The sequence below is a fragment of the Homo sapiens genome, chromosome 2 (assembly GCF_000001405.40).
Source record: "Homo sapiens chromosome 2, GRCh38.p14 Primary Assembly".
Taxonomy (NCBI): domain Eukaryota; kingdom Metazoa; phylum Chordata; class Mammalia; order Primates; family Hominidae; genus Homo; species Homo sapiens.
In genome coordinates, this window is record NC_000002.12 from 227,226,186 (window position 1) to 227,239,973 (window position 13,788).

The following is a 13,788-nucleotide window of genomic DNA, read 5'->3' on the forward strand; positions in this document are numbered from 1 at the left end:
CCTCTGTTTGTCTTCCTTTTAAGACACATTTATTTTATTGCCCTGTGAAGTTCAAAACATGAAGAACTTTTGGACTAGAGGATCTGCTGGGTTCTTCCAGTCCCCAAATTGTATTCCCTGTGTCCCCCAAGCTCTGGACAGAAGCACAGTGGGAGAAGGGGAGGCACATGGGGGTAGGCGGACAGAAAGAAGAGACAGGTCCCAGTCTGCCATTCCAAGGTAGAAGACCATCTCTCACTGGAACTCACAGCTGATCTCTTCTTTAAGTTTCTATTCTAATGTTAGGTTTGTTTTTTTTTTTTTAGATGGAGTCTTGCTCTGTTGCCCAGGCTGGAGTACAGTGGTGCAATCTTTGCTTACTGTAACCTTCACCTACTAGGTTCAAGCAATTCTCCTGCCTCAGCCACCCAGGTAGCTGGGATTATAGGCACTCAACATCATGCCAAACTAATTTTTGTATTTTTAGTAGAGACGGGGTTTCCCCCAGTTGGCCAGGCTGGCCTTGAACTCCTGACCTCAGGTGATCTACCTGCCTCGGCCTCCCAAAGTGCTGAGATTATAGGCATGAGCCACCGCACCTGGCCTCTATCTTAATTTTTAATGCAATTTTTATATTGCCATAGAAAAAATATAATGAAGATAATTTGTACCAGGAATCACCAAGCTTTTCCCATAAAGAGCCACGTAGTAAATATTTTAGGCTTTGCAAGCCAAGAGGCAAAATGAAGGCTACTATGCAGATACCTATATAACAAGAGAGAAAATAAATATCCACAACATTTGTATTGATGAAATGCAAACTTATGGACATTGAGATTTAAAGTTTATATAATTTTCACATTACAAAATGTTATTTCTCTCTTAATTTTGTTTCAACCATGAAAAATATAAAAACCAGTCTTAGCTCATAGGCCGGATGGAAACAGGCAGAGGGCTGGATTTGTCCTGCAAGCTGCTGTCTGCCAAGTCCTGCATTATACAGCTAATTTCATGAGCTACTATGTTATGTTTTTCACTGGGATTTTACGTCCCATCATGAGGGGCACAGTGATAGGGTGAGAGGGGGAGAAACATACCCCTCCTCCCCCAGTGCCTTGTGGCCAGCAGAGCCCGTCAATAATGAAATACAGGCCGGGCACGCTGGCTCACGCCTGTAATCCCAGCACTTTGGGAGGCCGAGGTGGGTGGATCACTTGAGCTCAGGAGTTTGAGACCAGCCTGGCCAACATGGTGAAACCCCATCTCTACTGGAGAATCATTTGAACCTGGGAGGCAGAGGTTGCAGTCAGCCAATATTGCATCACTGCACTCCAGTCTGGGTGACAGAGCAAGACTCCATCTCAAAAAAAAAAAGAAGAAGAAGAAATGCAACACTGCACCTGAGAATATGACTGACCCTGGGTCAGACTGTCTCACCTGAATTCAGATCCCCACTCCCCATGTTCCTTACTATCCTTAGCCTCTCAAAATCCTAGGTTTCTCATCTATTAGATGGAGCTTATAACAGTACCTCCCTTACAGAATTGTTGTAAGATATAATGAGATAATATGAGACAGCCAGCACTGAAAGTGCTCAAAACATACTGAGATCATTACAGTGCTGATGGAAGTTCATTTCCTCTACCACCATCCTGATCAAGGGATCCCGTGGAGCCTATTTTTCTTACATGAATAGTGAAGTTTTCTCAGTCTTTCTGCATTCAAAACCTTTTAGGGGGTAAAAAGAAAAGAAAAAAAAAGGAACCTGGAGTTAATGATTATAGGTATACTTACCATTCTCTGCATTGCATAAGACGGGCAAAATTTTCTTACCATATTATTTATTCTCAAATGTACCAGAGAGCCCTCACTGCACCGTCTTTGTCAGAGTTAGTAATCTGTATGCTTGCTGTCATCCAGAAAATCAAAAACGGGTGGCTGGCTTACATGTCTAGACTAGTGATGTGTCTCTGGACGGGAGTTGAGGGATAGGAAGTGGCAGCTGCAGTGAGATTTCTTTGATGTCCAAGGGTGGTGACAGCAGCTTCAGGGCGGGGCAGGCGGGGGCATCCCGCAAAGCAGTCCATGGGTGTCATTCTTCTTCACTGGAGGGCATGGTGCCAGGGCACATGGTTGGTTGCTTAAGGCAGACACGGGCAGAGGCGGCCCTGCAGAGGACAGCTCGTGGCGTCTGTCTGGCACGGTTTGGCTATACTTGGTCAGCTCTTCTTTTCACACACAAAAACTTTCCCCTCAGGCTATTGGCTGGGCAGAGGGACTGGCAGGGTCAGTAATCATAATGCAAAATCAACAGACCTGCTCAGTAGGGTGTTAACCAGCTGTGAACGGTGCCAACTCCCCCTGCTATTAAACCAGGCTGGGCTGGGCTGGGCTGCGGGAGAGAGATTGGAGAAAGGCAGGGCAGGCCACGTCTGTTTCACCAGCATGCACAGGAACGAGCATGCTGGCTGTTGACAGTAGAGAGAGAAATAGTCAAGATTATTTGGAAATTATGTTCTGGTCTATTAATAAAAATGCATGTGCATATTTCCTGATCCTTTTAACGAACAATAAAAATGGATGTGTTTAATGAGATCCTTCATGAGTTTTAAGGATAAAAAGATAATTGTTTACAGTGCTAGGGGGATATAAGGAATTGTGAGACACCGTTCCCACCTGCAGTTTAGGGAAAGTGATAAACCCTCAACTCAGGAGCACCTAATGATCCATGTCAAGTCAATGAGTTAGTAACAGCCTACAGTAACAGCCCTCAGTGTATCCTATGAACTCTTCTAAGGGCTTACCTGTGCTAACCAATCTGACCCCATTTCACAGATGTGGAAACCGAGACACCTGAGACTGCCTAGACTCACAGAGGTGAGGTGGCAGAGCTGGGATTTAGACCCAGGAAGTACGTCTCTGGAACTGGTGCCCTTCACCCTGTACCACTTTGCCTCATAAGAGAAAGCGATGTGCAGGTGAGACATGGGTGGCACACGGGCACTGCGAGAATTGAGATCAAGAGAAGAGTGTGAGACCCAATTGATCCGCACTCCTGGAAGGCTTGCTGCCTTTGTGTAATATATTTGATCTGGCACCTTTCTTGGATAAGCATCAAGTACCATTGGGGTCTCTAACCAATATTTTGTTAAATAAAACATTGTAATGTGTCTGTGCTCTTAGGCAAATGATATTTGGTTAATCAACCAATATAGTCAGTGTACTCTAATAATACTATTAACAAATATGAGTTAATTCATTTATTGTTTGTTAGAGATAGATAACAGCAGTCTCTCACCCTTGCTCTTAGATTCAACACCAGTTCTTTGGCACTGGACAAGGGACTTCAAGAGGAAATGTCAGGGAGGAAGGTGGCTAGTGCAGACTGATGGAAGAAAGGATCAAACAATAGTTGTGGATGTCCTTTGGCTTGGAATCTTGAAAAGGAGAAAGGGGAGTCCCCCAGTGACTGAGTCCTTATTGAGTGCAGGGTACCAGGCAGGCTAGTGACAGCATCTCAACTCCTTACAAAAACACTGCAAGGTACATCCTAGTATCTCCCTTGACAGATGGGGGAACCTGGAAGGATTAAGAAATTTCCCGGCCGGGCGCGGTGGCTCACGCCTGTAATCCCAGCACTGTGGGAGGCCAAGGTGAGTGGATCACGAGGTCAGGAGATCGAGACCATCCTGGCTAACAGGGTGACACCCTGTGTCTACTAAAAAAAATACAAAAAATTAGCTGGGCGTGGTGGTGGGCGCCTATAGTCCCAGCTACTCGGGAGACTGAGGCAGGAGAATGGCGTGAACTCGGGAGGTGGAGCTTGCAGTGAGCCGAGACCGTGCCACTGCACTCCAGCCTGGGCAACAGAGCAAGACTCCATCTCAAAAAAAAAAAAAAAAGAAATTTCCCAAAGCTCCAGTTTGTAGCTACAATGCTGGGAGTAGACTCAACATAGATGGGTCCGTATATATTCAGTAGGTCCATACATACATGGCCTGTGATTTCTGGAATTCCAAACCTTTTTGGATTCTCTACAATGAAAGTTTATTTTGCATTTTAAGTAAGGCCGTAAAACAGAAATGCAACTGTGAAAAAGAATGATTTCCACAAGTTTAACTACTTAATATTCAAAAGTGCTAAAACATCATGTAATCTCGGGTCATTTCCTGATGGCAGGAGGGGGTTTAAAAGCCATAATATTATTATTAAGAGCTTTCTGTTCATGACAAATGATTTTGTATTCCATTAAGATATGAGGAAACTATGGGGTAATTTATTGCTGGAAGGAGAAAAATCATAAAAATGTTGCTTAAGAAATATCCATTAGTTATGCTTCCTTAATAGTTAGCCTTTGGCCATCCTGGTTTTTTATGTGATTTAACAGTTGAATAGTAATGAATGGGTTATTACTATTAAAGTAACCATAGTGTTTCAAAAAAATGGGTCCAACAATGTAGATGGATTAAAATCAATGAGAATAAAAATATGGACTCTGTATCTTTTAAATTAAATAATTCATTTGAATTTTTGAATTACTGAAACATTTGCAAATTGAAAATGTATTTAAGAAAAGACAGCATTAGTGAGAGAAATTAATATCATGAGTCTTGAGCTACTGTCATCACCATCCAAAAGTATTCAAGTGCCCCTGTGCTGGGGTCTCTGCAATATCATACAGGCAGGGCTTATTTCTACAGCAGCAGCTGAACAGCAGCCAGAGAGCAGCCCTGACTATAATTTTGAGTTCACACAATCAGGTGCAGCATCTACATGTCAGCAACATTGTCATGTGCTCTGAAGTCCTAGTCAGCTTAATTATGTAGCTGCACAAGCAAGCCACACCTTGCCAATTTAACTGAGAATTAAAGCTGGAATTATTTTGGAGCAGTTCCACTAACGCAGGCATAGAAACACAGCTCTAGACCTGGCTCTGGAGCCTCATCTGCAGGGCAGACCACATGCAAGTAGATGATATGGCAGACATGTATAACTGGTACATGTCTGCCATATCATCTGAGATATGTACAGTCAACAAGAGAGAACAGTCAAGCCTTTCACAATGGCTCTTCATTTATCTGACTGCTGGATGGACCAGAATTCTCCATACCTCTGTGCAATAGCAGCTCAGAGCTGGAGGCGTCCCCCTAGTATACCAGCACATGTCTGCTATACCAATCAGTTTTCTTTTATTTTTTATATTATTTAAACATTTTTTGTGGCCACATAGTAGGTATATCTATTTATGGGGTACATGAGATGTTTTGATACAGGCATGCAATATGAAATAAGCACATCATGGAGAATGGGGCATCCATCCCCTCAAGCATTTATCCCTTGAGTTACAAAGTATCCAATTACCTTTTTTTTTTCTGAAACAGGGTCTCATTCTGTTGCCCAGGCTGGAGTGCAATGGCATGATCTTGGCTCATTGCAATCTCTGCCTCCTGGGTTCAAGCAATCCTCCCATCTCAGCCCTCTGAGTAGCTGAGACTACAGGTGTGCACCACCATGTCCAGCTAAATTTTGTTTTTGTTTTCATTTCTTTGTAGAGATGGGGTTTCTCCATGTTACCCAGGCTGGTCTCGAACTCCGGATCTCAAGTGATCCACCTGCCTTGGCCTCCCAATGTGCTGGGATTATAGGCGTGAACCCTCGTGCCTGGCTGCATTCTTTATTTTAAAATAATTAAGTTATTATTGACTATAATCACCCTACTGTGCTACCAAATAGTCTTATTCATTCTAATTTTTTTTTGTACCCATTAATCATTCCACCTCCCATCCAACCCTTCACTACCCCTCTAAGCTTCTGGTAACCATTCTTCTACTCTTTATGTCCCTGAGTTCAGTTGATTTGATTTTTAGATCCCACACATAAGTGAGAATATACAATGTTTGTCTTTCTGTACCTGGCTTATTTCATTTAACATAGTGATCTCCAGTTCCATCCATGTCGTTGCAAATGACTTGATCTCCTTCTTTTTTGTGGCTGCATAGTACTCCATTGTGTATATGTACCACATTTCCTTTATCCATTCGTCTGTTGATGGACACGTAGATTGCTTCCAAATCTTAGCTATAGTATACTCTGGTTTCTCTTCAGATTGCATAAATCTTTCACCTTTTACCAAATCTTAGCTATTGTAAACAGTGCTACAACAAACATGGGAGTGCAGATATCTCTTTGATACACTGATTTCCTTTCTTTTGAATAGATACCCAATAGTGGGATTGCTGGATCATATGGTAGTGCAATTTTTAGTTTTTTGAGGAACCTCCACACAGTTCTCCATGGTGGTTGTACTAATTTACATTCCCACAAACAGTGTACAAGGGTCCCCTTTTCTCTACTTCCTTTCCAGCATTTGTTATTGACTGTCATTTGGATATAAGCCATTTTAACTGGGGTGAGATGATATCTCGGTGTAGTTTTGATTTGAATTTCTCTGATGATCAATGATTTTGAGCACCTTTTCATATGCCTGTTTGCTATCTGTATGTCTTCTTTTGAGAAATGTCTATTCAAATCTTTTGCCCATTTTTTGACCAGATGGTTTTAAATTAGCCATTTCACTCTAATTCCTGATGGTTGAAATTACTATTTTAACGAAGTAATTTAATTAAATATTAAATAAATAAGTGATTAAATATGAATGCATAAAAAGACATTTGTTTATGTAAAAATAAGGTTGAAAGATTTGATAAAATGAAATTAAGAGAAAAACTATTCAATTACATGTGGCTGAGCTAGCACTTAAAGAGTTAGAGAAAAATATGGATTAATATCCAGAAGGACTCTATAGTCAGATTGTTCCACAAGCATCTTTTATATTTTTTATTGTATTTATTTACTTTTTATGTTTTTGAGACAGAGTCTAGCTCTGTCACCCAGGCTGGAGTGCAGTGGCACAATCTCAGCTAACTACAACCTCAGCCTCCTGGGTTCAAGCAATTCTCATGCCTCAGCCTCCTGAGTAGCTGAGGTTACAGGCATGCACCACCAAACCCTGCTAATTTTTGTATTTTTAGTAGAGACAGGGTTCACGTTGTTGGCCAGGCTGGTCTCAAACTCCTGACCTCCAGTGATCCACCAGCCACTGCCTCCCAAAGTGCTGGGATTACAGAAGTGAGCCACCATGCCTGGCCCCTACAAGCAATTGGCCTGTTAAAAAAAAAAAATTCTAAAACTGGAATTTGTTGATGGTGCACTGTGGGTGTGATTTAGCAGGAATGATGCCACTGAACTCTAAACAGCAGACCCATTCCCAAAGGAACAACCTGGACCCTGTCTCACTAGATTACAGAATTTGTGAACATCTATATATTTGAAGTTAACTAGTGTTCATGTTTCTGTTTGTTTGTTTTTGACTCTTCAACTTTTTCAATTAACTAATAAGCTGGTACTCAGCTATCATATAGAAATTCTACCTTAATGTGCAAACAAACCAAATACAACAAAAACTAAATATTTTACCACTAAAAGTTCAAGACCCAAACTAAGGGACAATATCAAAAAGAAAAAATCAAGAACTGTGATTTTGATGACAATAAAGGAGGCACCTCATGGCGGCAGGTGGTGATGGGAAAGCAGACACCAGGCAGGGAGGACTCACGGGAACAGCACGCTCACATCAGAGCCTCTCACCCGACTGCTAAGCACCCAGGCGGGTCCTATGGATTCTTGCAACTGTGATAGCCACTTGTTGACATCAGGCCTCAGGTGTTCTTGGGGGTGAAAGCACTGACAAAATCTCTGGCATAAAATGATGGATTTGCTAAAAATCAAACAGTTTTTCATTTTCTATGGTCATTGAGGACCTTGTATAAGGCTGAAGATCTAATTTAAAAACTGGTATCCTGAAGTTACTGTATCAACATTGATTTCTTAGTTTTGGGGATAAGGGTTGTAATTGGATGGGGGAGAGGCATACAGAAGTATCTGGGGTACAGTGTCATGTTGCGTGCAGTCTACTTTTGAATGATTTGGGGGAAAGTGGTGTATGTGTATGTGGAGAGAGAGAAAGAGAGAAGGAGAGACAGACAGAGAGATGGAGTAGGTGGGACAACTTAACAGTTGGTGAACTTAGATGGGAGGAGACACCAGTGTTTCCGGTACTGTTTGTCAGCTCTTCTGAGGGTTGGGTTTAAACTTTTTCCAAAAGAATTTCTTTTAATCCAAGCAACTAATAAATAATTAGGCTTGTGTTAATTTTAACGTGTGTTAAAATAGCCAAAGCCTCTGGTTCCATTTTTTGCCATTTTGATCATAGTTGTTCATAATTCATACATACAGAAAATATCTGCATCATGGCACCCCATCAAATAGCCATGCAATTCATAAGCCTTCAAATTGGATGCAAATAAACCAGCTGTCCATCCACTGATTCATCCAGTCAATCCATAAACACTTGTTTACGACATCTTATATGCCAAAGATACCAGTGTGACTATGACTGCACAATTCCTTCTCTCCTGGGACAAACAGTCATCAGAAAAAAATAGGCATTGAATATCTAACTGCAGAGGCTCAATGGGAGTGTATAGGCAAAGGGGACCAGTCTAGTCTGGAGAAGATCAACAAACACTTGCTTAAGCTAAGACCGAAAGATTTCCAGTAGCATATGGTGAATGTGACTCTTACTCCAAGAAATAAAATTAAGCCTGTCTCAAGGCCCCCACACCTTCTCACAGGTTAGAGAATTGCCAATCTGCTCTTCTTCCCTCTAGCCCTAGAGGCTCAGAATCCAGGTGTTGTGTGGCATCTGGGAGGCAGAAGAATCAGAGGTGATCATTGCCCATTTGAAAACAGTGGCCGGCTTCCTCCGTGCACACTTGAGCCCAAGGTCCATGCCCAGGTTAAGCTTCCTTACCCAGTATCTTGTACCCTTGGGTGAAGGACTCAGGCTTTCCTTTCGGAGGCCCTGCTGCCTCTTCCAGATGCTGTGAGGGAGTAGCATGCTCGGGGGTGGGAGGGGGCACTGAGGACTTGCATTTCTGAGGACTTGCATTTCTGAGGACTTGCATTTCTGACAAGTCTCCAGGAGATGCTGCCGTCTGGGAATCCACACTTTGAGTTTTAGTAGAGTATACTTAAAAGATGTGGTTGAAAAGAGCATTAAAGTTTAAAAACCCAGAAAGACAAGATTAAAATCATTTAGTCAAGACATGACTTCATGATCCCAAATATCTGGGAGGAAAATTGCAATGAGTTAGTCTTCTAGAAATAAGAAATATGCAACTTTGAGGAGACTATAGAATTTCCTTCTCAGTCGGTTACTTTCTCTTCATTTATTTCAATAGGTTATTGGGGAACAGGTGGTGTTTGGTTACATGGATAAGTTCTTTAGTGGTGATTTCTGAGATTTTGATGCACCCATCACCCAAACAGTGTACACTGTACCCAGTGTGTGGTCTTTAATCCCTCACCCCCTTTTACACTTCCCCCAAAGTCCATTGTATCATTCTTATGCCTTTGTGTACTTATAGCTTAGTTCCCACTGCTAAGTGAGAATATGCGACGTTTAGTTTTCTATTCCTGAGTTACTTCACTTAGAATAATGGTCTCCAATTCCATCCAGGTTGCTGCTAATGCCATTATTTCATTCCTTTTTTTTTTTTTTTTTTTTAATGGAGTTTTGCTCTTGTCACCCAGGCTTGAGTGCAATGGCGCAATCTCGGCTCACTGCAATCTCCGCCTCCCAGGTTCAAGCGATTCACCTGCCTCAGCTTCCCGAGTAGCTGAGATTACAGATGCCCGCCACCACATCTGACTAATTTTTGTATTTTTAGTAGAGATGGGGTTTTGCCATGTTGGCCAGGCTAGTCTCGAACTCCTGACCTCAGGTGATCCGCCCCCCTGGGCCTCGCAAAGTGCTGGGATTGCAGGCGTGAGCCCCCGTGCCCAGCCTATTTCATTCCTTTTTATGGCTGAGTAGCATTCCATGGTATATATACCACATTGTCTTTATCCACTCATTGATTGATGGGCATCTGGGCTGGTTCCAGATTTTTGCAATTGCGAATAGTCCTGTTATAAATATGAGTGTGCAAGTGTATTTTTCGTATAATGACTTATTTTCCTCTGGGTAGATACCCAGTAGTTACTTTCCATTCCTATAAACTGCAGTGTATATGAACATGATGAGTGTCAAATGATGAATGCCTCAAAATTACTGTGTGCTCCCTTCCTGGAATGACAGCAAGGCCTACTGCCCAAGACTAAGGAAAGATATTCAGTTAAAGATACTCTTGTTTGTGTGGGTTTTTTTGTTTTGGTTGCATAAGTAGAATTCTCCACCTTAGGAATATCTAGCATTTCTTTTTTTATTTTCCCTACTAACCATCCAGTATATCTCCTAGATTTGCCTGGCCTCTGCCATCAACATATTTTCTGGAGAAAGCAAATTAATTTTCAGTTAATATTAACCTGAAGAAAAAATAATAAAGCAAAGGATTAATATGTAACCATATAATATGCAGCATATATGTCAAAACACATTTTTTCTTTTTTTGAGACAGAGTCTCACTCTGTCACCCTGGCTGGAGTGCAGTGGCATGATCTCAGCTCACTGCAACCTCCACCTCCTGGGTTCAAGCCATTCTCCTGCCTCAGCCTCTGGAGTAGCTGGAATTACAGGAGCCCACCACCACACCCAGCTGATTTTTATATTTTTTAGTTGAGATGGGGTTTCATCAGGTTGGCCAGGTTGGTCTCAAACTCCTGACCTCAAGTGACCTGCCTGCCTCGGCCTCCCAAAGTGCTGGGATGACAGGCATGAGCCACTGTGCCCAGCCAAAACACATTTTAAGTCTATTATTTGAAACTATTTCTTTATTTGTTCCTCTGCTGGCAGAGAAAAGTTTTAAAAATTTGATGTCCATTGGAGCTGGAATGTGCATAGGTGTGAGGGCTGGGGGGTAAGTGTGTCACAGTGACTAGTTAGGTAGGATAAGGTATGTCTAACTCACAGCTGAATTTTTTGTTTTGGTTTTGGTTTTATAAGAAAGAACATTCTGTTGTTCAAAATATTTGAGAATAAAAAAAGAAAGAACATTCTGATACTAGCATTAATGAGTTAGTTTGTTCTCTTTAAAGATGTGTAATGGGTATTGATCCTCTTCCCAGTCTTAAACATTATTTAAGTCAAAGAAAACCTTAATATCACCTATGGAATATATTGCATATTAATCTACACAAATATATATAAGGTTGGTGCAAAAGTTATTGTGGCTTTTGCCATTGAAAGTAATGGCAAAAAAATTGTCCAAGTAATGGCACTAACCAAATACATTGTGTTCTACATAAAAGGTACATATACATGTATACATTATACATATATACACATACACATATATGAACATTATGTAGAACCTAAGAATTTGCCAGTATTTGACCACTTTTTAACTATGACAGCAGCAATTTCTTATGATTCAATTAGATATTATCCTGAAAAAAAGGATAGCTTTGTCGTTTCCATATATAAATTATTAGGTTGGTACAAAGGTAATTAAAAGTAATGGCAAAAACGGCCATTACTTTAACACTTAAAATTCCCAAGTACAATACAAATGATGTATTCTTATCCGACATTTCTCCCTTATGCAACATGTTCTCAGTTTTCTACTTTATTGCTATTCATATATTGATATATTTCTATTGATATATTGCTACAAGGTCACCTGGCTCCTAACAGATAGTGTCCAATACTCGAAGAACAGAGAAATGCATTTGCTTTTACCCTGCCGGTTGGGATTTATTCAGCTGTTTCTAAACAAAACCCTTTCTCTTTCCCTCTTCCTAGGGTTGTGTCTGTAAAGACAAAGGCCAGTGCTTCTGTGACGGGGCCAAAGGGGAGAAGGTAAAAACAAACCCTAATACTGCTTGTTTACACTGTAAAGCTCTAGAAGGTAAAACTCAACCTTCTTCTTTCATCGGTAGCAGAAAGATCCGCAGTATGTTGTTCCATTTCCCAAATCCAATGTTAAAGTAATTGTATATAAACATTAACCTAAAAAAAAAAAAAGAAAAAAGTCATCTAGGAAGCTTCAGATACCTTGTATATACAATGGCAATTAAATTACAACTCTCTCGGTCTGTAAAGAATAAGTAGCAAATGAGAAAAAGAAAAAGAAAGTTTATGACAAGTCTCCATATGTATACACTATTTACAATGTTGCTAAACACAAGAGAAGAACTGAAAACGATTTGATTCATTCACTTTGACAGAAAATAAACATTGAAATTCACAGATTTTTGTCCTGCAGCATTGGTTCAAGTTCGCCCCCTGGTGGAGAAATCCCACAGCAGCACACTGGTTGAGGCAAAACTTAGCAGAGGGAAGTAGCTCCATTGCAGAATTCAAGAAAAAAAGGAATGCCGTGAAATCTCATTAATTCGCTCCATTAACTTGCAATTTGTGATAATTAAGATAGAGGCAGAACTAAAGTTTTTTTCTTTGTTTACCAAACCCTTTCCTCAGAGACACTAATTAATTGTTTAACAACATTGAAGGATGACTATTTTAAAATATTTTAAGAACATATTTAAGCTCTTTATCTAAACTAATTTCTATATAATGTGTATGCTAATTATAATAATTATACTTATTTTAAATTATTTCATAATTCACATGTAGTTGGATTTAGGTTTTTTCTTGAATCTGTGAATGTATTCTAATTCAGGTTCCCATTGAGAAGCACTTTCTCTGTGATTCTCCTTGCATTCAAGAAGCATTTATTGAGTTTCTATTATTTGCAAGATGCTACTGTAGGGTGTATAAAAGTAACTGAGTAGCGAGAGGGGTCTAGCACATTCTTTTATTTCTCTTCTTGTTGAGTGTGTGTGCACACACACAATGTAAAATAGCTGACTTGTTCTTTTTTGTTTTAATTTGCCAATTGTGTAACTAAATTGACCCAATTAACCAAATCAGCCGGTGGCCTTTACTGTTGAAGAGTACAGTCGGCCCTCCTTATCCACGGTTTCTGAATCCTCAGAATCAACCAATGGCATACTGAAAATACTTCGGGGAGGGGGGGATATAATAAAAAATAATACAACAATTAAAGATAATACAAATAAAAAAATGCAGTATAACAACCATTTGCAAAGCATTTGCATTGTATTAGGTATTATAAGTCACCTAGAGATTTAAGGTATATGGAAGGATGTTCTAGGTTATATGCAAATACGATGCCATTTTGTATAAGGGACTTAAGAATCCACAGGTTTTCGTGTGGGGGGAAGGTCCTGGAACCAATCCCCCACCGACACTGAGGGACAAACGTAATTCCAAGATACAAATCCATGGAAAAATTATTTGTTGGTAGAACTGTGTCAAGCCTTGGGCTTAAAGTACTTTCACTCACTTTTACTAGGTACTTTCCCCTAATATTATCTGACTCCTTCTAGAACATTACTGAGCTCACACCTTTTTGGTTATGCCACCCTTGCTACCTTTCCTGCATCTCCTACACAAATAACAGATTAAATTACTAACTCCTGTGTATTAAAGAAAGGGCTCAGACTCATAACCTGCCTGGTGGCGTTCTTTCAAGCTACATAGTAATTATGCACACTCCCCAGGCACCTTCTTGCACCTGACCCTCACTGTCTCTCCATCCCACAACAAACACTCCACTAACCTTGATGCTTCTACCTGGGCTTTCCCTTTCATTTTTTATTCCGTCTCCCTTAAGCTCTGCTCTACATAGCCCTACCATTTGGGAGAAAGTCAAGTTTCTACAAGACCAAGAGCCACCACTTTCAAGCCTATAGACAAATACTAACAACTGGTAGCTTTCTGGT

The 13,788-nt window shown here is 40.6% G+C and overlaps 1 protein-coding gene and 1 long non-coding RNA gene across 9 annotated transcripts in view; one reads left to right on the top strand and one right to left on the bottom strand.

The window, feature by feature from the left end:
• The window catches only part of COL4A3 (collagen type IV alpha 3 chain), a 150,169-nt gene that overhangs the window by 61,562 nt on the left and 74,819 nt on the right, over positions 1-13,788 (top strand). For all 8 annotated transcript variants that reach the window (XR_001738601.2, NM_000091.5, XM_005246277.4 and 5 more), the window contains exon 2: positions 11,783-11,839. Coding sequence is in view for 7 of the 8 variants with exons in the window: in NM_000091.5 (NP_000082.2) it covers positions 11,783-11,839 (57 nt within the window). In the remaining variant the exon portion in view is untranslated. The remainder of the gene's footprint in view (positions 1-11,782; positions 11,840-13,788) is intronic.
• Positions 1-13,788, bottom strand: part of MFF-DT (MFF divergent transcript) — a 104,113-nt gene that overhangs the window by 5,134 nt on the left and 85,191 nt on the right. Inside the window, exons 10-12 of the long non-coding RNA NR_102371.1 lie at positions 11,901-11,989; positions 2,296-2,447; positions 1,585-1,707 (exon numbers count right to left, since the gene is read on the bottom strand). This is a non-coding gene — a long non-coding RNA (MFF divergent transcript). The remainder of the gene's footprint in view (positions 1-1,584; positions 1,708-2,295; positions 2,448-11,900; positions 11,990-13,788) is intronic.